This window comes from Homo sapiens, chromosome 10 (genome assembly GCF_000001405.40).
Source record: "Homo sapiens chromosome 10, GRCh38.p14 Primary Assembly".
Lineage (NCBI taxonomy): Eukaryota > Metazoa > Chordata > Mammalia > Primates > Hominidae > Homo > Homo sapiens.
In genome coordinates this window covers 68,367,213-68,391,636 of record NC_000010.11, presented here as the reverse complement: position 1 = coordinate 68,391,636, position 24,424 = coordinate 68,367,213, and the positions used below count along the sequence as shown (strand labels likewise).

Here is a 24,424-nt window from a genome sequence, read left to right as displayed (position 1 = left end):
TGTTGCCCAGGCTGGAGGGTAGAGGGCAGTGGCATGATCAAGCTCACCACAGCCTTGACATTGCAGGCTCAAGCAGTCCTCCTGCCTCAGTCTCCCAAGTAGCTGGGACCACAAGTGTGCACCACCATGCCTAGTAATTTTAAATTTTTTCATAGAGATGAGGTCTCACCATGTTGCTCAGGCTGGTCTTCAACTCCTGGGTTAAAGTAATCCTCCCACCTCAGGCTCCCAAAGTGCTGAAATTACAGGCATGAGCCATTGTGCCCAGCCACATAAGTAATTTAAAATTTCTGGTAACTATAATAAAAATGTAAAAAAAACCCCAAAAATTAAAAATATATTTTATTTTACCCAGTATTCCCCAAATATTCTTCCAACATGCAATCAATATAAAAATTAGGGTACAGGCACGATGTCTCACTCCTGTAATCCCAGCACTTTGGGAGGCCGAGGCATGTGGATCACTTGAGATCAGGAGTTCGAGACCAGCCTGGCCAACATGGTAAAACCCCATCTCTACTAAAAAATACAAAAATTAGCCAGGCATGGTGGCATGTGCCTGTAGTTCCAGCTACTCGGGAGGCTGAGGCAGGAGAATTGCTCGAACCCAGGAGGTGGAGATTGCAGTGAGCCGAGATCACGCCATTGCACTCCAGCCTGGGCGACGTAACGAGACTCCATCTCAAAAAAAAAAAAAAAAAATTAGGCCAGGTGTGATGGCTCATGCATGTAATCCCAGCACTTTGGGAGGCTAAGGCAAGAAGATCTCTTGAGCCCAGGACTTCAAGGCTGTAGTGAACTATGATCGCATCACTGCATTCCAGCCTCGGTGACACAGTGAGACCTTGTCTCAAAGAAAAAAAAAAAACTATTATTAGCCTGGCATGGTGGTACATGTCTATAGTCCTAGCTACTTTGAGGCTGAGGCGAGAGGATCACCTGAGCCCAGGAGTTTGAGATAAGCCTGGGCAACATAATGAGACCCCCATCTCTTAAAAAACAATTATTATTAATGACATATTTTATACTCTCTTTTTTTTGGCACTGTCTACAAAATCCAATATATATTTTACCCTTACAGCACATTTCAATTTGGACTAGCCACATTTTTAAGTGTTTAGTAGCCACATGTGGCTCATGGCGGCCATACTGGACAGCACAGGTATAGCGAGTAATATTTGCTATGTAATTAGAAATGAAGTGTTTTCATTAATCACATTTAATAATTAGTAAAATATTCTCTGGGTGATAGGATTATGAATAATTTTTATTTTATTCTTTGTACTTTTCTATATTTTCTGAGTACTACTCAGTGAATATGTATTATAATCAGAAAATACAATTAAACATTTTTCCATTTTAGGAAAAGAAACTAATAAGCTGTGACTCTTGCTTTTCCTCTAAAGTAGAAATAGGAAAGACTTCATATAAGTCTTTTTTAAATGGAGTTTTAATAGAAATCGTAGGAAATATATGTATATTTTGTAATTTGTATTTCTGAGATTGTATTTCTAAATGCAAGCTTGTGTTTCTTAATTATTTATGTTTAAACTTCTAATCACTTTTTGGTAACAGGTAATATTAATATATTCATATGGCTCAAACTTCAAAAGGCACAAAAGGAACATAAAACAAAAGTCTCCCTCTCCTTGATCTTCATCCATCTAGTTTCCCTCTTCACAAGTAATTAATATATTAGGTTCTTGTGTATCCAGAGATACTTTATGCTCATAGCAATAATATGTATATCTATTCTCATATCTCTTCCCTCTCCCTCTTCTTACATATTAGGTAGCATACTTTCACACTACTCTATACCTTACTATTTTCACTTTTTTTTTTGAGACGAGAGCTCTTTGTGTTGTCCCTGGCTTGGGTGCAGTGGTGCAGTCTCAGCTCACTGCAACCTCCACCTACTGGGCTTAAGCAATCCACCCGCCTGGGCCTCCCAAAGTTCTGGGATTACAGGTGTGAGCCACCATGCCTGGCCAACAATTTATCTTGGGGTTATTCCATTCAGTTCAAAATAATTTTCTTTTTTTTTTTCGAGACAGAGTTTCGCTCTTTCACCCAGGCTGGAGTGCAGTGGTGTGATCTCGGCTCACTGCAACCTCCGCCTTCCAGTTTCAAGTGATTCTCCTGCCTCAGGCTCCTGAGTAGGGGATTATAGGTACCTGCCACCATGCCCAGCTAATTTTTTGCACGTTCAGTAGAGACAGGGTTTCACCATATTGGCTAGGCTGGTCTTGAACTCCTGACTTCGTGATCCACCCACCTCGGCCTCCCAAAGTGCTGGGATTACAGGCGTGAGCCACCGTGGCCGGCCCAGTTCAAAAGACTTTTCTCATTCTCAGTTGTTTAAATCATGTGTGTTAATCAGTTACAGCAATACTGGTGTCTGACTTTTGTATACCTTATGTTTTATAAATGTTTCATTGCACCGGGCTCAGTGGCGCATGCTGTAATCTAGCATGTTAGGAGGCTGAGGTGGGAGGATCACTTGAGCTCAGCAGTCTGAGACCAGCCTGGGCAACATGGTGAGACCTTGTCTCTATACACCCAAAACAGTACAAAAAATTAGCTGGTCATGGTGTTGTGTGTCTGTAGTCTCAGCTGCTCAGGAGGCTGAGGTGGGAAGATCACTTGAGCTCTGGAGGTTGAGGCTACACTGAGCTGAGTTTGTGCCGCTGCACTCCAGCCTGGGTGACAGATGAGACCCTGCTTCTAAATAAATAAATAAAAGTAAAAGTGTTTCATTGCTTTTTCTTTTTCTTTTCTTTTCTTTTTTTTTTTTTTTTTGAGACAGGGTTCTCATGGTGTCAACACAGGCTGGAGTGCAGTGGCCTGATCTTGGCTCACTGCAACCTCTGCCTCCCAGGCTCAAGCGATCCTCCTACCTCAGCCTACCAAGTAGCTGGGAGCACAGGCTTGCGCCACGACACCCAGCTAATTTTTTTTATTTTTCATAGAGCTGGGGTTTCACCATGTTGCCCAGGCTGGTTCAAACTTCTGAGCTAGGCCATCCACCCACTGTGGCCTCCTAAAGTGTTGGTATTATAGATGTTAGCCACTGCACCCGGCCTTTCATTGTTTTTCTAATAAAAAGTAGTTATTGTACCTTTAGAATATTTCAAAATATAGAAAACATATAGAAAAAAAGTAGAATTCACTTTTTTATGGAGTCTTAGTCTTGTCGCCCAGGCTGGAATGCAATGGCGCGATCTCAGCTCATTGCAACCTCCACCTCCCAGGTTCAAGTAATTCTCCTGCCTCAGCCTTCCGAGTAGCTGGGATTACAGACACGTAACACCACGCTGGGCTAATTTTTGTATTTTTAGTAGAGACAGGGTTTCACCATGTTGGTCAGGCTGGTCTCAAACTCCTGACTTCATGATCCACCAACCTCGGCCTCCCAAAGTGCTGGGATTACATGTGGAGCCACCGTGCCTGGCCTGAATTCGCCTATTATTCCTCACTCAAAACTACTATTGAGGGTTTGTTTTCAAAGTGCTTTTCTTGATGATTATTGTATCCTCGCATAAAGGCAAGGTGAATATTATTGTCCAATTTGTTGAAAAGAAACTGAAGCTCAGGAAGGTTTTGCAACTTTCTTTTATTATTATTATTATTTTCTGAGACAGAGTCTTGCCCTGTCACCCAGGCTGGAGTGCGATGGTGCGATCTCGGCTCACTGCAACGTCCGCCTCCCGGGTTCAATCGATTCTCCTGCCTCAGCCTCCTGAGTAGCTGGGATTACAGGCGTGTGCCACCACGCCCAGCTAAGTTTTGTATTTTTAGTAGAGACGGGGTTTCACCATGTTGGCCAGGCTGATTTTGAATTCCTGACCTTGTGATCTGCCCGCCTCGGCCTCCCAAAGTGCTGGGATTATGGGTGTGAGCCACTGTGCCTGGCTGGTTTTACAACTTTCAAGGTGACACAATTAGGAAGTAGAAAAGCAGGGCTCTTGGTCTTACGTCTCCTAGACTTGTGTTTGTCTGTCGTTACCATCAGGACATCCTGGTGCTATTTGTGAAAAACTCAAGTTGTCTACCTAAGAATGATTATGTCTTAAAAATGATTTAATATGAATGGAAAAACATTTTTCTTGTTTCACTAGTAAAATTAAAATACCAATACTTGTTTCTGAGGCTGGTATAAAATTTATTGCATCTATTGTTGATTTTGCTGAAACATACTACATATAGAATATTACATTTTATTAGAGAAGGTTTTGAGATGGTAGTATCAAGCAGGCCTTGGACAACATTCTTTTTTTTTGAGATGGAGTTTTGCCCTTGTTGCCCAGGCTGGAGTACAGTGGCGCAATCTCGGCTCACTGCAACCTCTGCCTCCCAGGTTCAAGTGATTCTCCTGCCTCAGCCACCCAAGTAGCTGGGATTACAGACGCCCGCCACCACGCTTGGCTAAGTTTTGTATTTTTAGTAGAGACCAGGTTTCACCATGTTGGCCAGGCTGATCTCCAACTCCTGACTTCAGGTGATCTGCCTGCCTCAGCCTCCCAAAGTGCCGGGATTACAGGTGTGAGCCACTGTGCCTGGCCAACATTCTTAAAATATACAATAATGTCCAGTCTTGATTCATTTAAACAAAAATGCAAAAAGTGTGTTCATCTGGTATAATCTGACCTTTGACTATTTCCTTTGAAAGACAGGGTGTTTAGCTGCCAGATCCTTGATACTAAGAACCTGATGCTGGGTATCTCATCTTCATATTTCTCAAACCATGGTTGACTTTGGATGTCTCTAAGTTCTCATGAAAATGGAGAGGGGAATCAAAATGGAGCTTGAATTAAAGACCATTGTTTATATGCCTCATGAAACCACATAATTATAAAGTAGACATTTAAAGCTCATCCTTTTAAATATAATTTTAACAATACTTAGTAATCTTTGTGTCGAATTTTTATTCCCAAATATTTTCAGTTAAATTTAAGAAGGACCCTAAGAAGACAATGTAAAAAAATGAGTAGGCCGGGTGCTGTTGCTCACGCCTGTAATCCAGCACTTTGGGAGGCTGAGGTGGGTGGGTCATGAGGTCAGGAGTTCAAGACCAGCCTGACCAACATGGTGTAACCCCGTCTCTACTAAAAATACAAAAATTAGCCGGGCATGGTGGCGCACGCCTGTAAACCCAGCTATTCAGGAGGCTGAGGCAGAAGAATAGTTTGAACCCAGGAGGCGGAGGCTGCAGTGAGCCGAGATCGTGCCACTGCACTCCAGCCTGGGCAACAGAGTGAGACTCCATCTCAGAAAAAAAAAATCAGTAGCACCAAATGGAATTTTAATACAAATATTATTTTGCTACACTCTTTATTGCCCTCCTAGCTAAATCAAGTTATCCAAGTTAATGAAATTTTCCACACTCAGAAATTTGGACAGGGCAGTTGGTGCCTGTCAGTAAACATAGTAAATCTAGGATAACATATTTTTTCGTGCCTTTTTGAGTTCGTGTGATTTTGAATGAGTTTTTTTGTTTCTTAATTTCAGCAGCACAGTCAGCAGCCTCCATTCAAGAGTTGATTCATTAGAAAAGTCAAATACTAAGCTGATTGAAGAGGTATTGTCTAATGGATAAATGTATTTCATGGACCTAGTGTTTGTGATCCTTTTCCATTTTAAGTATGAATGCATTAAACATACACACACACACGAACACACACTCATCATTGTGATGCAATACTTGTAATATAGTCGTAACTGATGATTATAAGTTCTAGAGAAACCATATATTCTTAGGCAAATCCTCAGTTATATGAATCTGAGATACTATATTTGAGATACTCAGCTTCTAAAAATGAGCCTCAGAGATGAAACTCACACAAATTCTTCAGTAGATAAGCTGTGATTTTCATTTTAAAATCTGGATGACCTATATTTACCTAGTGTAATCACCTGTAATTAGAAATGCTCGTTAAGTGCAGTAAACCACCATGGCACATGTATACCTGTGTAACAAACCTGTACATTCTGCACATGTATCCCAGAATTTAAAGTATAATACAAAAAAAAATACACATTAAAAAAAAGAAATTCTTGTTAAAATGATACCGTCCCTCTCTTCCCACTGTTCCACTAGTCAGATTACTTTTCTTCACAGGCATCACTGCATGATCATGTTGACCATTTTTCCACCTTCTCATGTGCAAAGCTCATCCCATGTGCTCTGTTTTCTTGCAAATTTATCTCAGCTCTCTTTTTTGTAGAGTTGCTTTCTAGATTTTTTTTAATGTATTAAATCACAGAATTATTGCTTATATATTTTCAGAAATATTTAGGCTTCTGTTATTTGTATTGTGAACCCTATTTTCCATGTTAATTAACATTCTCATTAGCCTAAATTTTTTTTTTTTTTGAGATGGAGTCTTGCTCTGTCACCCAGGCTGGAGTGCAGTGGCGCGATCTCGGCTCACTGCAACCTCCGCCTCCCAGGTGCAAGCGATTCTCCTGCCTCAGCCTCCTGAGTAGCTGGGATTAAAGGCACGCACCACCACGCCCGGCTAATTTTTTTGTATTTTTAGTAGAGACGGGGTTTCACCGTGTTGGTCAGGCTGATCTCAAACTCCTGACCTCGTGATCCACCTGCCTCGGCCTCCCAAAGTACTGGGATTACAGGTGTGAGCCACTGCACCCAGCCAAATTGGCCTAATTTTTCCAAACCAACGAACACATGATAACTTGCATGACTGCAGTTAAGAATGCATCTTTATTTTGATGGTTGGGCTCCTGATCGGGACCATTATAGAGCTACTCACTAGTTTGTGCCTCTTCTTGACTTTAGTAGGACTGTGAAGTTCAAGTTGATTCCTGATAAAATGTTTAGAAATGTGTTAATTGCAAACCATCATTAGGGAATGGTCTCTGCTTTGCTTTCATAGGATCTTTCTTTCCATTCTGGGCCTCAGAGTCAAACCACTTAATCATTCATGTTTAACTCATGGTGAGACCTGTCTCTTGTTTGTTGTAGTCACTTAAGTTCCTGTTACATGTCTAGACTTCATGGGGTGTCCAACTCAGTTACCACAAATGTCTGTATTACATTTTCAATGATAGCACAATCTTCTTTCCTTATGCATGTTTTTATCTTTACACAAGTCTTTAAAGCCTTTGTTATTTAATGCATATTTCTCTATTTGTTTACTCAGACACTTTGTATTCAGGACATACTGTAAATCATACAGTAAACATAATATGTTTATTATAAGCATAACAAATAAGCCTAATGTGTTTCAACTATAAAAGAAAATAGTAGGAATAATTCAAAAGGAAATAAGAGTATAATTTTTAAAATTGGTATCTTGGGATAATAACGAGCGTGTTTTCCTTATGAACGTTTCTGTGAATGTGACAGACCTTTTGCTAGTTGTGAGATTTTATTTTCTGATGTTTATGGCCATGCACATAACCTGCAAAGCAAGTATAAGGGTGTTTAAAATCTTTTTTCTTGCCCGTTTCTTAATTTTTAGTTAGCAATAGCAAAGAATAACATCATTAAACTCCAGGAAGAAAATCATCAATTACGAAGTGAAAATAAATTGATTTTAATGAAAACACAGCAGCACCTAGAGGTAAGTATAGACTGCTTTCAAGCAGACAATCTCGTGTCAGAAATTACCATTTTTGGGGATTTTTGGATGAAGTAGGTATTTCTATGCTGTATTAATAGTAGTGATTATAGAATGAAAAATTTTGTTTTCTTCCTAGGTTACCAAAGTAGATGTGGAAACTGAGCTTCAAACATATAAGCATTCTCGTCAGGGGCTAGATGAAATGTACAATGAAGCCAGAAGGCAGCTTCGAGATGAATCTCAGTTACGACAGGTAGGTTATATTAAAAATTACATTAGCAAGATCATCCTGGGAGTAATTTACCCTCAAGCAAGCACCATTTAAAATCTTTTTCAGCCTTATCCTTTTTGGTGTGGTATGTAGCAAGCTCACCCCTTAATCTTCTCAAATTTTCTAAGCTTCCACTATATCAATGTTTTATTGTTGTTTTGAGACAGATTCTCACTCTGTGGCCCAGGCTGGAGTGCAGTGGTGTGATCTTGGCTCACTGCAGCCTCTGCCTCCCGGGTTCAAGTGATTCTTGTACCTCAGCCTCCCAAGTAATTGGGAGTACAAGGCATGTGCCACCACACCCGGCTAATTTTTGTATTTTTTGTAGAGATGGGGTTTCACCATGTTGGCCAGGCTGGTCTTGAACTCCTGGCCTCAAGTGATCTGCCTATCTTGGCCTCCCAAAGTGTTGGGATTACAGGCGTGAGCCACTGCGCCCAGCCTATTGTTGTTTTGAGACAGAGTCTTGCTCTGTCACTCAGGCTGGAGTGCAGTGGTGCGATCTTGGCTCACTGCAGCCTCTGCCTTCCAGGTTTAAGCAATTCTTGTACCTCAGCCTCCCAAGTAGCTGGGACTACAGGCATGTGCCACCATGCCTGGCTAACTTTTGTATTTTTTATAGAGATGGGGCTTTGCCGTGTTGGCCAGGCTGGGCTCAAACTCCTGGCCTCAAGTGATCCACCTGCCTTGGCCTCCCAAAGTGCTGTGATTATAGGCATAAGCCACTGTGCCTGACCTGTATCAGTGTTTTTTAAACTGTAAGTTACAGTATATGATTGTGAATGAATGGGTTATGACCAGCGTTATAGAAAATGAAATAGAACAGAATGACATATTCAAATATTAGGAAAGTCATATTTAAAATTAACTTGTTTTTTAACCTTTGAAATTGTGAAATATAATGCCAACAGAAAAATACGAATATACAGCTTAATGAATTATAACACAAATAACCTGCGTAACCTCCACCCAGGTCAAGAAGAGAATATTGCCCATCTTTTTATCACCTTTTCTGTTTGTCTTGAATGCTAATAAATTTCTTTTTTTTTTCTTTTTTTTTTTTTTTGAGATAGAGTCTCGCTCTGTTGCCCAGGCTAGAGTGCAGTGGCGCCATCTCGGCTCACTGCAAGCTCTGCCTCCCAGGTTCACGCCATTCTCCTGCCTCAGCCTCCCGAGTAGCTGGGACTATAGGCGCCCGCCACCACGCCCGGCTAATTTTTTGTATTTTTAGTAGAGACGGAGTTTCACCATGTTAGCCAGGATGGTCTCGATCTCTTGACCTCATGATCTGCCCACCTTGGCCTCCTAAAGTGCTGGGATTACCTGCATGAGCCACCGCACCAGGCCAATAAATTTCTTAAAATAAATCATAAGAAACTTTTTAATCCTTCTGATAAAAAATTCTTAAGAAATTAAACTGTGTTGGCCGGGCACGGTGGCTCACGCCTGTAATCCCAGCACTTTGGGAGGCGGAGGCTGGTGGATCACAAGGTCAGGAGATCGAGACCATCCTGGCTAACATGGTGAAACCCTGTCTGTACTAAAAATACAAAAAAAAAAAAAATTAGCCAGTCATAGTGGCAGACCCCTGTGGTCCCACCTACTCGGGAGGCTGAGGCAGGAGAATGGCATGAACTTGGGAGGCGGAGCTTGCAGTGGGCCAAGATGGTGCCACTGCACTCCAGCCTGGGCAACAGAGCGAGACTCCGTCTCAAAAAAAAAAAAAAAAGGAAATTAAACTGTTATTTGAGTTACTTTGGCCTTTACATGTACAGACTGCTTCATTTCCTTTTGTTTAAGGAAAATTAATATTCAATCTATGAAGCATAAAAATGATTAATTCTTGGACCGTTAAAGAGTAATGATTAACAGAATATAGAAAATGCTTTCATTTTAACAAAAACTGCGTTTGAAAATATTTACTTACTTTTTGAGACAGAGTCTTACTCTCTTGCCCCCGCTGGAGTGCAGTGGTGTGATTTCAGCTCACTGCAACCTTTGCCTCCTGGGTTCGAGTGATTCTTTCACCTCAGCCTCTCTGGTAGCTGGGACTACAGGCGTGTGCCACCATGCCTGGCTAAGTTTTTGTATATTTTTGGTAGAGACGGAGTTTCACCATGTTGGTCAGGCTGGTCTTGAACTCCTGACCTCAAGTGATCCACCCACCTTGGCCTCCCAAAGTGCTGGGATTACAGGTATGAGCCACTGCGCCTGGCCCTGCATTTCAAAATATTTATTGCCTTGTTATAGGGCCTGGTTGATTCCCTTTAGTGGACTTAAAAGGTGTAGTCTGCATATTGAATGGAAAATCTTTCTTAAAGTATATCTAATTTTTACATCCTGAAGTGGCATGTGAATTGAGGATACATTGAAATTGCAGGATGTAGAGAATGAGCTAGCAGTACAAGTTAGTATGAAGCATGAGATTGAACTTGCCATGAAGTTGCTGGAGAAAGATATCCATGAGAAACAAGATACTCTGATAGGCCTTCGACAACAACTAGAGGAAGTTAAAGCAATTAACATAGAGATGTATCAAAAGTTGCAGGTAAGGATTGTTCTTAAATTTCATTTTATGTAAATTGAAAGTGAATATTTGTAGAAAGGTTTTGGTTTTTAAGAGATGAGCCCATTTTATTTTAACTGTGCAATATTATAAAGGCCAATGTCTTTTTTTTTCTAAATGAAAGCTTAAGAAATGTAATGAAAAAGGTATCAACAAACAAAATATCACCTGTCTAAATTTTTAATGTTGAAAGATTAAGAGTATGAAGATTAAATCTTTTGGGAAAACTCTCAATTTAAACTGCAAAACGTTTTTGTGAACTTCCTTTTCCAGTGTAGTTCTAAGAAAGATTTAATTTTGATTGAAATGCTACACTATCAAAATAGTAAATTTTCTTTCTTTGTTTTTTTTTGAGATGGAGTCTCGCTCTGTTGCCCAGGCTGGAGTACAGTGGTGAGATCTCGACGCACTGCAACCTCTGCCTCCCAGGGTCAAGCGATTCTCCTGCCTCAGCCTCCCTAGTAGTTGGGACTACGGGCATATACCAATACGCCCGGCTAATTTTTGTATTTTTAGTAGAGATGGGGTTTCACAATGTTGGCCAGGCTGGTTTCGAATTCCTGACCTCAGGTGATCCGCCCACCTCGGCCTCCCAAAGTGCTGAGATTACAGGCGTGAGCCACCATGCCTGGCCCATAATTGTGAGTTTTGTACGATGATATTGCTATTAAGTAGATATGTTGCCAAAACCCTTTACAATTTAATTAATTTGAAAAATGTCATATTTTACAAGAGTGTATTCTGTCATCTTCCAAAAATATTGAAGGTGGAGTTTTTTTTTCCTTTATTACATTTTATTTTTTAATTTTTTTTTCTTTTTTTCTTTTGTTTTCTGTAGAGATGAGGTCTCACTATATTGCCCAGGCTGGTCTCAAGCGATCCTCCCACCTTGGCCTCCCAAAGAGCTGAGATTACAAAGGCCTCCCAAAGAGCCACTGCACCCGGCCTATTACATTTTAAATGAGGACTAATAGAGGCCAGGTGCCATGGCTCATGCTGTAATCCTAGCACTTAGGGAGGCCGAGATGGGAGGATTGTTTGATGCCAGGAGTTCGAGACCAGCCTGGTGAACATAGCAAGACCCCATCTTAAAAAAAAAAAAAAAGGGCCGTGTGCGGTGGCTCATGCCTGTAATCCCAGCACTTTGGGAGGCCAAGGCGGGCAGATCACAAGGTCAGGAGATCGAGACCATCCTGACTAACACAGTGAAACCCTGTCTCTACTAAGAATACAAAAAAATTAGCTGGGCGCAGTGGCGGGCACCTGTATTCCCAGCTACTTGGGAGGCTGAGGCAGGAGAATGGCGTGAACCTGAGAGGCGGAGCTTGCAGTGAGGCGAGATGGTGCCACTGCACTCCAGCCTGGGCGACAGAGTGAGACTGTCTCAAAAAAAAAAAAAAATGACTAATAGCACTGCTTTATATCACACAATTATTTTAATGTATAAAGTAACTCTGTTCATTTCAAAGTAACAGTCCCATAGCAAAATGGTGTAAGAAACTTATAAATACTCAGGTTAACAGATCAGAACTCTACTTGGGAGGCTGAGAGGTGGGATAGCTTGAGCCCAGAAGTTCAAATCCAACCTGGGCTGCATAGTGATACCCTATCTATTAAAAACACGCACACACACACACACACAAACACACACACACAAATCAAAACCACCATAGCTTTTGTTTTTATAAATAGGGTTCTGAAGATGGCTTGAAAGAAAAAAATGAAATAATTGCCCGACTAGAAGAAAAAACCAATAAAATTACTGCAGCCATGAGGCAGCTGGAACAAAGGTACAGCATTTCCAGTCTTAGTTTCTTTTTTTCTTTTCTTCTTCCCTTTTTCTTTATTCAGTTCCTACACCTGCCACAAAAACCATTAGGAAGACATAGATTAGGACATGTTTTTTGTTTAAGCCCAGCAGGATTTTGCGTTTTTGCTTTGGTTGTTGCATGGAATCAAGTTGCTTTATATTACGCTGATTCATTTGAAGTTGTCATATTGTAGATTTTTCTTAGAGGCCTAATATCAGCAGTTTCATGTCGTTCAGTTACATAAAACAAATACACAAATAAAAATGTCAAAAAAATTAAAAATGAACAAACAGAGTGAGATTATCCCTGATTGATTTCCATGCATATTAATTGTCATATTCTTTGCCATTCACCATCTGTTTATCTGAAATCAAGCATTCCGAATTGGTGGTTTAGTTTTGTTTCTTTGAGCTAGGACCCTCAACCCAACCGAGGATATAATTTTGTTTAAATTGAATTGTTTTATATTGGCATTTTTCACTTTTATTGTTGGAAAATGTAATGTATTTCCATTGCCCTGTCATGTTGGTGTCAACATATGTCTTTTATCATTGCTTTCTTTGAATCTACTTATGAAAAACATAACTATTAATGCTTTATTGACATGAATATTCTTTTATTGACATCCTCTTTCTTCTTTTTTCTTTTTTGTTTTCTTTATCCCCATTTTTACATTTTGGACATTTTTATTACCTTTTTCTGTCTTTGATTTCTTTCCATTCCATTATGAAGTGACAACGATTTGTTAACTCAAACTAGGACAATTGCAATGTCATTGGTGAAATGTGCCAGCAGTGACACGCAGGACCAGTACAAGCTGGTTAAAGATATATCTTTCTGAAGACCACTTGTATTTAAACAGACTAAATGAAAAGAGAATCAACAATTTTATAATATATTAAATAGAAAGGAATCTAAATGCTATTAAATATTCTAAAAGGATGTTAGGAACCCTGTACATTTCTTGGTCAGCTGCTGTGGTAATACACTGCCATCAAGCAGAGTGGGTGCACTTGGATTTCCAGACATACGTTCCTCAAACCTTGTGCACAAAGGGTGATTTGAGTATTGACCCTTTGGAGGTCAGGATTTTCAAATGCAGTTTTATCTTTTTAGCTACTTTTTGATGAAAAATATAAAGATTGTTTAAAAATAACTTAACCTTCAGTTTTATACTGTGTTGGCACAGATATTTTTTTCTCATTGGCCCACTCTTTGCCCAATGGCTCCCTTACAGATTTTTACATATGCTTTAAAATAATTTATAACCCAGACTGGCCAACACCCTGTGCTTCAGCTTCTCAGTTTTCCGGTTCTCCCTTGCCCTCTTCTGTGATAGCACAACTTCAAGGCCTACCTCACTCTGACTTCTATTTTCCTTTTTGTAACCTTAGAGAAAAGCTTGGGTCCAATCCCAGCACCTGAATATTTTAATTTAAACTTGGATTTGGAGATAACTTAAATGTTACTCTCCCTTCCTTGGAAGCAGCATTTATACCCCTGAAATATGTGAGGGTTGCTCCATTGGTATGGTTTTAAGGAAGAAAGGAAGAGGAAGAGTTTTTTAGTTAGTTGAACCGAAATTTCTCTTGTGATTTCCTGCAAGGAGTTAATATCCTTTGAATCTTGGTAAATATTTTCTTATAAAAATATTGAAGTTAAATACAAGAAATCCTAGATGGCCAAAGAAGGCAGGGAGTGGAGCTAAGCACAGGAAAATGCAACGACTTACAAATAAAAACAGGAAAGATGAAAATCACAATGTTTTAGCTAATTTTTAATATTAAATGGTGAGGAACAAAAATGATCTCTAGCAAATGATGCCAACTGGCACCAAATTCTTTTTGAATCTTAAACATATATGCACACGTGCACACACACACACACACAGAGCTTCGGCATAATTTAGTAAATGCATAAAGATGCCGTAAGAAGGACTTGGCTATCATTTGGAGTAATTGCAGGTCTTTGCTCTTGGCCTTGTAGCACACTTGATTCCTGGCATACACATCCTAGCATAACATATAACAGTGTGGCTTCTTCACCTAGTGTAGGCATAAATCCTTTGCTTTTCATGGTTTTGTAAAAAGGTAGTAACATACCTATTATGCTTTGAAATTTGATTCGTTATGCTCTGCATAAGTGGTAAAGGCTGTATTGCTTTGCACTGTTAATTATGAACAAGAAATAAAACAAATTTGAAGATAGTATTCTGGGCATACTACATGTTATATTGAAAAAAAAAAATCACAAAACAACTTCTAGACATTGTGTGGCTCTTTCACGTTTGAGTTTGTGAGTTTTCCCCCAAACTTTGTTTTCATTTAGAAATGTTTCTATTTCCCCATTTTTCTTTTATTTGTCTTCTTCACCCTTTTACACCCTAGTTCTAGCCTCAGTTTTACCCAAAGTTGATTTGAATTACACCAGATTGCAGCAAGCAGAGAAGGCGCAAATGGAAGCTGAAGATGAGGATGAGAAATATCTACAAGAATGTCTCAGTAAATCTGATAGTCTGCAGAAACAAATCTCCCAAAAGGAGAAACAGCTGTGAGTATTTCACTCTCAGAAACAAATACTTGTGTTAACATAACCCCCTCATTTTTTTGCACATAATGATAGAATACCAATATTTTTATTTATCTAATGATGCCAGTTAGCTTTTAGTGTTTACTTTAAAAAACAAAAAAATTTAGAAAATATAATTGTAATAATACTTATGTTTTTACTCCCTTTATGATTTACAGAGTACTTTCAACTCTGTTTTGCTGTCTTCTTGCTCTAGGAGAGTTTTATTCATTCTTCTGTTGTTTAACATTAATCTGATGGTCATTATGTTTCTAGGTGCTGAGTATAGGCTTTTGTAACTACAAGAAACTTATATTATTAAAGGACATGCTGTTTTCTGAGAATATATATATATATATATATATATATATATATATATATATATATATATACACACATTTTTTTGAGATGAAGTTTCACTCTTGTTGCCCAGGCTGGAATGCAATGGCATGTGACCTCAGCTCACTGCAACCTCTGCCTCCTGGGTTCAAGCGATTCTCCTGCCTCAGCCCCCTGAGTAGCTGTGATTACAGGTGCCTGCCACCACGCCTGGCTAATTTTTTGCATTTTTAGTAGAGATGGGGTTTCACCATGTTGACCAGGCTGGTCTTGAACTACTGACCTCAGGTGATCCACCCGTCTTGGCCTCCCAAAGTGCTGGGATTACAGGCATGAGCCACTGCACCCAGCCGAGAACATTTTTTTTTAAATCAACTTTTTTTTTTTTCCTTCGAGATGGAGTCTCACTCTGTCGCCCAGGCTGGAGTGCAATGGCACGACCTTGGTGGCTCACTGCAACCTCTGCCTCCTGGGTTCAAGCAATTCTCCTGTCTCAGCCTCCCGAGTAGCTGGGACTACAGGCTTGTGCCACCACACCTGGCTAAGTTTTTGTATTTTTTATTAGAGACAAAGTTTCATGACGTTGGCCAGGCTAGTCTCATACTCCTGAACTCAGGTGATCTGCCTGCCTTGGCCTCCCAGAGTGCTAGGATTACAGGCGTGAGCCACTGTGCCTGGCGAACTTTTTGTTTTAATTGTGTCTGATTTTTTTTTTTTTTTGAGATGGAGTCTCGCTCTATCGCCTGGGCTGGAGTGCAGTGGTGTGATCTCGGCTCACTGCAAGCTCCGCCTCCCGGGTTCACGCCATTCTCCTGCCTCAGCCTCCTGAGTAGCTGGGACTACAGGCACTCGCCACCACACCCAACTAATTTTTTTTGTATTTTTAGTAGAGATGGGGTTTCACTGTGTTAGCCAGGATGGTCTTGATCTCCTGACCTCGTGATCCACCTGCCTCAGCCTCCCAAAGTGCTGGGATTACAGGTGTGAGCCACCACACCCGGCCAATTGTCTCTAATTTTTTTTTTAACTTTTATTTTAGGTTTGGGGGTACATGTGAAGTCTTGTTACTAGGTAAACACGTGTCATGGGTGTTTGTTGTGTATATTATTTTATCACCCAGGTATTAAGCCCAGTACCCAATAGTTATCTTTTCTCCTCCTTTCCCTCCCCCCATCCTCCCCCCTCAAATAGACACCTGTATCTGTTGTTTCCTTCTCTGTGTTCGTAAGTTCTTATCATTTAGCTCCCTAACATTTTTTTTAAATTGTGGAAATGGAGTCTTGCTGTGTTGTTCAGACTGATCTCTAACTCCTGGACTCAAGTGATTCTCCCGTCTCAACTCTCAAAGTGTTGGGATTACAGAAGTGAGCCACCATGCCCAGCTTCTGAGAACATTTTTATTAGAACTTTATATGATCTATATGTCACCAACCAGGAAGGATGTTAGTATATGTTGTTGTGCTGAAAAAAAGCAAGTTGCAGACAGTATGCCAAATATGATTCAATTTTAAAAATAAAATTAAAACCATGCATGCATATATATTTATATATAGATAGAAAAGATTTTAAAGAATACAGATTCTGGGGAGTGGTTATTTCAGGTGAATGCTGGCAGGTTGAGGTTGACAGGGGCATTTTAGTTTTATTTTATAAACATCAGTATTTTCCCCCAGTTAATATGCACCAATTCTGTTATTAAAAGAAAACAACAATAAGAACAAACAACCAAAGAAAAAAGAAAACAACAATGGAAAATAGTTACATATTATATTAACAGATCATTAAAACAAGACCACATGCCATGTATGATGTATAAGTTGCTAAGCTGCCTTTATACCTATTGAAGTGTTAAGTTCTTCTCTGTCCTTGGTGATTTTCTGTCTAGTAGTTTTTAATTATTGAGGGATGATTTGTTGAAATATCCAACTGTAATTGTGGATTGGTAAATATATTTTTTCAATTCTGTTTTTGCTTATTGTATTCTAAAGCTCTGTTACTTGGTGCCTACATATTCAGGACTGTTAATATGTCTTCTTGGTAGGTTGACCCTTTTGTCATTATATGATGTACTTCTTTGTCTTTGGTAATTTTTTTTTGCTCTGAAGTTAATTTTTCTGATATTAATATAGTGACTCCTGCTTTCCGTTGATTAAAGTGTATATTTTTCCATTTTTTAATTTTCAGTCTACCTTTATGATGTTTGAAGTTTCTTTTTTTTCTTTTGGAGAGACAGGGTCTTGCTATGCTGCCCAGGCTAGTCTTGCACTCCTAGCCTCAAGCGATCCTCCCACCTTTGCCTCCCAAAGTGTTGGGATTACAGGTGTGAGCCACCATCCCTGGCTTGAAGTTTCTTTTCCTTTTTTTTTTTTTTTTTTTTTTTTGGGACAGGATCTCACTCTTGCCCAGCCTGGAGTGCAGTGGCATGATCATAGCTCACTGCAGCCTTGATCTCCTAGGCTCAAGCAATCCTCCCAACCTCAGCTTGCAGAGTAGCTGGGACCTTAGGCATTGTGCCACCATACCCAGCTAACTTATTTTTCTTTTTATTTTTTTAGTAGAGACAAGGTCTTGGTATGTTGCCCACACTGATCTTGAAGTCCTGAGCTCAAGTGATCCTCCCACCTTGGCCTCCCAAATTACAGGCATGAGCCACTGCTCCCAGCCGAAAGTTTCTTATAGACAGCATATAGTTCATGTTTTGTTGTTGCTGCTATTTGTTTTTTAGAGACAGGATCTTGCTTTGTTGCCCAGGTTGGAGTATAGTGGTGCCATTATAGCTCATTGCAGCCTCTAATTCCTAGGCTCAAGAGATCTTCCTGCCTCAGCCTCCTGAGTAGCTAGGGCTACAGGCATACGCCACTACACCTGGCTAATAAAACAATTTTTTTTTTTAAGAGATGGAGGTCTTGCTATGTATCCTAAGCTGGTCTGGAACTCCTGGCCTCAAGTGATTCCTCTGCCTCAGCCTCCTAAAGCATTTGGATTATAGGCATGAGCCATCATGCTTGGCCTGCTTCATGCTTTTAAAATCAATTCTTCCAACTCTGTCTTTTCACAGTATATTTAGTCCATTTATATTTGTTGTAATTATTGATACAGTAGAGCTTAAGTCTGCCATTTTATTGTTTAATTTGTTTTTCCTGTTTGTTGTTCCTCTATTTAATTTTTTCTGCCTTCCCATAAGTTACATGAACATTATTTAGAATTCCATTTTGATTTATCTGTAGCAATTTTGAATGCATCTCTTGGTATAGATTTTTGGTGTTTGCTGTGGACATTATATTACACATATGCTATTTTTCCACAGTCTGTTGGCATTAACATTTTACCACTTTGGATGAAGTGTGAAAACCTTACCTCTATTTAAGTATTCATACCTTGTCCCCTCTTTAATATAATTTGCTTAATTATCTCTTTTACATATATTGAGAATCATGTTAGACAATGTTGTAATATGTGCAACCATAAACAGAATTTAATGTTTAAATTTAATCTAATTTAGAAAACTTCATTATTATTTTTTATTCCTGAAGCTCCAAGTTTTTTTGTGTGTGTCTGAACTTTCTTTAAACATTCTTTTTTTTTTTTGATACAGGGTCTTGCTGTGTCACCCAGGCTGGAGTGCAGTGGTGTGACCACAGCTCACTGCAGCCTTGATTTCCTGGGCTTAGTAATCCTCCCATCTCAGGCTCCTGAGTAGCTGAGACTACAGGTGCATGTCACCATACCTGGCTAATTTTTGTATTTTTGTATTTATTTATTTGTTTTGGTGGACACGGGGTTTCTTCATGTTGCCCAGAACGATCTCGAACTCCTGGGCTCAAGCGATCTGGCCACCGTGGCCTCCCAAAGTGCTGGGATTACAGCCGTGAGCCACTGTGCCTGGCCTCTTTTTTTTTTTTTTTTTTTTTTAAAGAGAGAGGGGTCTCACTCTGTCACTGAGGCTGGAATACAGTAGTGTGATCATGGCTCACTGCAACCTCAAGCTCCTGGGCTCAAGCAATGCTCTTGCCTTTACCTCCCAAGTAGCTGGGACTATAGGCATGTGCCACCATGCCAGCTAATTAAAAAACTTATTTTATTTTATTTTTTTGAGATAGGGACTTGTTCCTCTGTCGCCCAGGCTGGGGTGTAGTGGCGTGATCATAACTCATTGCAGCTTTGAACTCATGGGCTCAAGGGATCCTCTCACCTCAGCCTCCTGAGTAGCTAGGATGATAGTAGCATACCACCACACCTGGCTAATTTTTATAGGGACAGGATCTTGCTATGTTGCCCAGGCTGGTCTTGAACTCCTGGCCTCAAGCAGTTCTCCTGCCATGATCTTCCAAAGTGTTAGGATTACAGGCGTGAGCCACTGCACCTGGCCTTAAATTTTTTTTTAGAAATGAGGTCTTATTATGTTGCTCAGGCTACTCTTGAATGCCTGGCCTCAAATAAACCTACTCAGAAGGTGGGATTACAGGTGTGAGCCACCATGCTCAGCTCTTTAGCCATTCTTTTAGGGTAGGTCTGTTGGCAATAAATTCTATTTTACCTTCATTTCTGAAAGATATTTTCACTGGGTATAGAATTCTGGGTTGGCAGTTCTTTTAGCACTGGAGAAATCTTATGCCACTCTCTCTTGGCCTTTATGGTTTTCTGATTAAAAATACACTGTCATTTGAATTGTTGTTTCTCTTTAGGTGTTAATGTCATTTCTGTCTTACTGCTTTCAAAAAAAATGTTTTTTGGGCTTTAACCTATTTGGGATTTGGTCAGCTTCTTATATGTGTAGGTTTATGTCTTTGTCAGATTTGGGAAATTCTCAGCCATTACTTTTTCAGATTTTTTTTTAGTGTCAGTTGCTTTCTTCTCCCCTTCAGAGCCTCTGATACCGTGAATGTTGGGTCTTTTTTTTTTTTTGAGGCGGAGTCTCGCTCTGTCGCCAGGCTAGAGTGCAGTGGCGCGATCTCGGCTCTCTGCAACCTCCGCCTCCTGGATTCAAGCGATTCTTCTGCCTCAGTCTCCTGGGTAGCTAGAACTACAGGCGTGCGCCATCATGCCCAGCTAATTTTTGTATTTTTTTTTTTTTGAGATGGAGTCTCAGCCTGTCGCCCAGGTTGGAGTGCAGTGGTGCGATCTTGGCTCACTGCAACTTCTGCCACCTGGATTCAAGCGATTCTCCTGCCTCAGCCTCCTGAGTAGCTGGGATTATAGGCACCTACCACCACGCCTGGCTAATTTTTTTGTATTTTTAGTAGATACGGGGTTTCACCATCTTAGCCAGTTTGGTCTTGAACTCCTGACCCATCACACGGCCTCCCGAAGTGATGGGATTACAGGTGTGAGCCACCACTCCTGGCTTTTTTTTTTTTTTTTTTTGAGACAGAGCCTCTCTCTGTCACCCAGGCTGGAGTGCAGTGGCGCGGTCTCAGCTCACTGCAAGCTCCGCCTCCTGGGTTCACTCCATTCTCCTGCCTTAGCCTCCCGAGTAGCTGGGACTACAGGTGCCCGTCACCACACCCGGCTAATTTTTTGTATTTTTAGTAGAGACAGGGTTTCACCATGTTAGCCAGGATGGTCTCGATCTCTTGACCTTGTGACCCACCCACCTTGGCCTCTCGAAGTGCTGGGATTACAGGCGTGAGCCACTGAGCCCAGCTGACCTTTTTTTTTTAGTAGTCCCACAGGTTCCTGTTCAGATTGGATAATTTCTGTTGTTATATTTTCAAATTCATTCATTCTTCCCTCACCATCTTCATTCTTCTCTTGAGCCATTTCAGTAAGATTATTGTATTTTTCAGTCCTAAGATTTCCATTTGATCTGTTTTCTTTTGTTGTTTGTTTTGTTTGTGTTTTGTTTTGAGATAGGGTCTTGCTGTCGGCCAGGCTGTAGGGCAGTGGCATGTGCCCTACCTGGCTCACTGTGAACCTGAACTTCTGGACTCAAGTGATCCTTCTGCCCAAGCTTCCTGAGTAGCTAGGACTACAGGCATACACCACTATGCTTGGCTAATTTATTTTTATTTCAGCAAGACTCTGTCTCAAAAAAAAAAAAAAAAAAAGAAAAAAGAAATGCCTTGTTACTGCTGCATGGGGATTCAAGTCCCAGGTTACTCTTCCATTGTTACCAGTGGGGTTGCTTCAGAGACACTTTGTTTTCTTTTGTCTTTATTTTTTTCCCTTAGATCCAGGGATAGACTGGATTAGTTTACTTTCTGTTTTTTTGAGACAGAGTTTTCGCTCTGTTGCCCAGGCTGGAGTGCAGTGGTGCAATCTCGGCTCACTGCAACCTCTGCCTCCCCGGTTCTAGCGATTCTTGTGCCTCAGCCTCTTTAGTAGCTGGGATTACAGGCACTTACCACCATGCCCGGCTAATTTTTTGTATTTTTTGTAGAGATGAGGTTTTGCCATGTTGGTCAGGCTGGTCTCGAGCTCCTGACCTCATGTGACCCACCTGCCTTGGCCTCCCGAAGTGCTGGGATTATAGGCACGAGCCCCCGTGCCCGGCCTAGATTAGTTTACTTTCTATTAATATAACTGAATACCCGAGACTGGGTAATTTAAAAAGAAAACAGGTTTATTTCTTACAGTTCTGGAATCTGGGAAGTCCAAGATTGGGCAGCTACATTTGGTCATCTTCTGGTGAGGGCTTTGTGCTGCATCATAACATGGCAGAAGACATCACAGGGCAAGAGGGGTGTACCGAGAGTCAAACTGGCTTTTATTTTTTATTTTTATTTATTATTTTTCTTATAGAGACATGATCTCTCTATGTTGCCTAGGCTGGTCTTGAACTCCTAGACTCAAGTGATCCTCCTGCCTTGGCCTCCCAAAGTGCTTGGATTACAGGTGTCAGCCACCATTCCTGGCCTACCAAACTGGCTGTTATAACAGACCCATTCTTGTGATAACCTGTTAGTCCATTAACCTGTTAATTCATTCATGAAGGCAGAGACCTCATAAGCCAATTACCTCTTAAAGGCCTCGCCTGGTTTTTTTTTGTTTTTTTTTTTGTTTTTTTTTTTTGAGACAAGGTCTGGCTCTGTTGCCCAGGCTGTAGTGCAGTGGTACAATCTCAGCTTACTGCAGCCTTGACCTCCCCAGTTCAGGCAATCCTCCTGCCTCAGCCCCCCTAGTAGCTGGGACTATAGGCACACACCACCACACCTGGCTAAATTTTGTATTTTTTGTAGAGATGAGGTTTCACCATGTTGACCAGGCTGGTCTCAAACTCCTGACCTCAAGTGATCTGCTTGCCTTGGCCTCCCAGAGTGCTGGGATTACAGGCATGAGCCACTGTGCCGGCAAGGCCTTACTTCTTAATATTGTTAAATTGGGAATTAAGTTTCAATGTGAGTTTTGAAGAGGACAAACATTCAAACCATAACAGATGCCTTATTACTGCTGGGGGTTAGGAAGGTTCAGGCTCCCACTTGGCATTTTCTGATACTACCACAGCAGGGTGCAAGAACTTTACCTCATCATTGCCAGGCAAGAGTAGAAATCCAGGCTCCTCACTCAGCCTTTGCTGACTGAGGTTTGTTGCGGGGGCATGGGTTTTTTCTCGGGTGTTTTGCTGGAATAGGGCATTTATTGTCCAGAGTTTTCTGTCTTGCTAGGCTATTTCCTGGCCCTTTGGCCCGGGAACAGCTCCACTTGGGGCTTTTTTTGTCTATGCCCATTAGTATTTAATGGGTTGAGGGCTTCATCAACACCCAATATGAGCTATATATGAGATAAAAAGAAACCTGAGGTAACTCATCACCATGTTGTTCTTTGATTCCTGGAGTTCCTAGCTGATCAAACTTCTTCTCTTTACTTTCTGGAGTCTTCTCTTGTTGTTGTTGTTTTGAGATGGAGTTTTGCTCTTGTTGCCCAGGCTGGAATGCAATGGCGCGATCTTGGCTCACTGCAACCTCCGCCTCCCGGGTTCAAGCGATTCTCCTGCCTCAGCCTCCCAAGTAGATGGGATTACAAGCATGTGCCACCACTCTTGGCTAATTTTGTATTTTTAGTAGAGACAGGGTTTCTCCATGTTGGTCAGGCTGGTCTTGAACTCCCGACCTCAGGTGACCCGCCTATCTCGGCCTCCCAAAGTGCTGGGATTACAGGTGTGAGCCACTGCACCTGTAATTTGAGAAATTAATATTTCTCAAATATAATAATTTGAGAAATTTGAGGAATTAATATGTAGAATTCCCTGGCTTTAGGCCAGGAAGTATTACTGTGGTTAAAAACCTACAGGCTGGGCCTGGTGGCTCACGCCTGTAATCCTAGCACTTTTGGGAGGCTGAGGCAGGCGGATCATGAGGTCAAGAGTTCGAGACCAGCCTGACCAACATGGTGAAACCCCATCTCTACTAAAAATTAAAGAAAAATTAGCTGGGCATGGTGGCAGGCGCCTGTAATCCCAGCTACTCAGAAGGCTGAGGCAGGAGAATTACTTGAACCCGGGAGGCGGAGGTTGCAGTGCGCTGAGGTCACGCCACTTCACTCCAGCCTGGGCGACAGAGCGAGACTCCGTCTCAAAAAAAAAAAAAAAAGACAACCCACATTATTTCTACATTGTGAAAACTGTGAAATTGAAATCCACTCCCAAAGCCAAAAACAGGGCCAGGTGTGGTGGCACATGGTTGTAATCCCAGCACTTTAGGAGGCTAAGGTGAGAGGATTGCTTGACGCCAGGAGTTTAAGACCAGCCTGGGCAACATAGTGAGACCCTGTCTCTACAAAAAGAAAGAAAGAAAGGAAGGAAAGAGAGAGAGAGAGAGAGGGAGGGAGGGAGGGAGGGAGAGAGATAGAGAAAGAAAGAAAAAGCAGGGAGGGAGGGAGAGAGAGAAAGAAAGAAAAGAGAAAGAAAGAAAAGAAAAGAAGGAAAGAAAGAAAAAATTAGCTGGGTGTTGTGGCACACACCTGTAGCCCCAGCTGCTCGGCAAGATGAAGCAAAAGGATTGCTTGAGCCCAGGAGTTCAAGATTGCTGTGAGCTGTGATTGTGCCACTAAACTTCAGCCTACTGGGTGACAGAGTGAGTTCCTGTCTCTAAAAACAGAACAAAATAAAAACCCCAAAACATTCAGAAAAAAAATAATTCCTCTTAATTTTAAGTTACAAGGAGCATTTAAGTCATCAGATTTATTAATGGTGCACTGGGTTTGTTGTGTAAGACTCTGTGCCTTGCCAAATGAAACACATGAAGAACACGACTGGGATACTTTGCTGGTCAGTAGAATACAGTCTTGAAACTCTGGTACTCTGTTACTGAATTACCTTTCTAGTGTTTGACAAAAGCATAGGTAA

The 24,424-nt window shown here is 41.0% G+C and overlaps 1 protein-coding gene across 25 annotated transcripts in view, besides 1 other annotated feature; it reads left to right on the top strand.

The window, feature by feature from the left end:
• RUFY2 (RUN and FYVE domain containing 2) overlaps positions 1-24,424 on the top strand; it is a 66,166-nt gene that overhangs the window by 15,641 nt on the left and 26,101 nt on the right. For 9 of the 25 annotated variants that reach the window (NR_103476.2, NR_103475.2, XM_005269957.6 and 6 more), the window contains 6 exons: positions 5,509-5,578; positions 7,485-7,586; positions 7,723-7,839; positions 10,238-10,405; positions 12,116-12,213; positions 14,665-14,784. Coding sequence is in view for 23 of the 25 variants with exons in the window: in XM_005269957.6 (XP_005270014.1) it covers positions 5,509-5,578; positions 7,485-7,586; positions 7,723-7,839; positions 10,238-10,405; positions 12,116-12,213; positions 14,665-14,784 (675 nt within the window). In the remaining 2 variants the exon portion in view is untranslated. Of the gene's footprint in view, positions 1-5,508; positions 5,579-7,484; positions 7,587-7,722; positions 7,840-10,237; positions 10,406-12,115; positions 12,214-12,966; positions 14,445-14,621; positions 14,785-24,424 lie in introns of those variants that run through there. The other 16 variants (NM_001278225.2, NM_001042417.2, XM_047425452.1 and 13 more) reach the window with 6 other exon arrangements.
• Positions 20,466-20,635: an enhancer, noted in NCBI's record as "experimental_16593 CRE fragment used in MPRA reporter constructs". NCBI's record gives its function as "activates a minimal promoter by MPRAs in K562 erythroleukemia cells, with activity observed for both the introgressed and non-introgressed 10:70130844 variant alleles {active_cell/tissue: K562}" and the evidence as "EXISTENCE:reporter gene assay evidence [ECO:0000049][PMID:34662402]".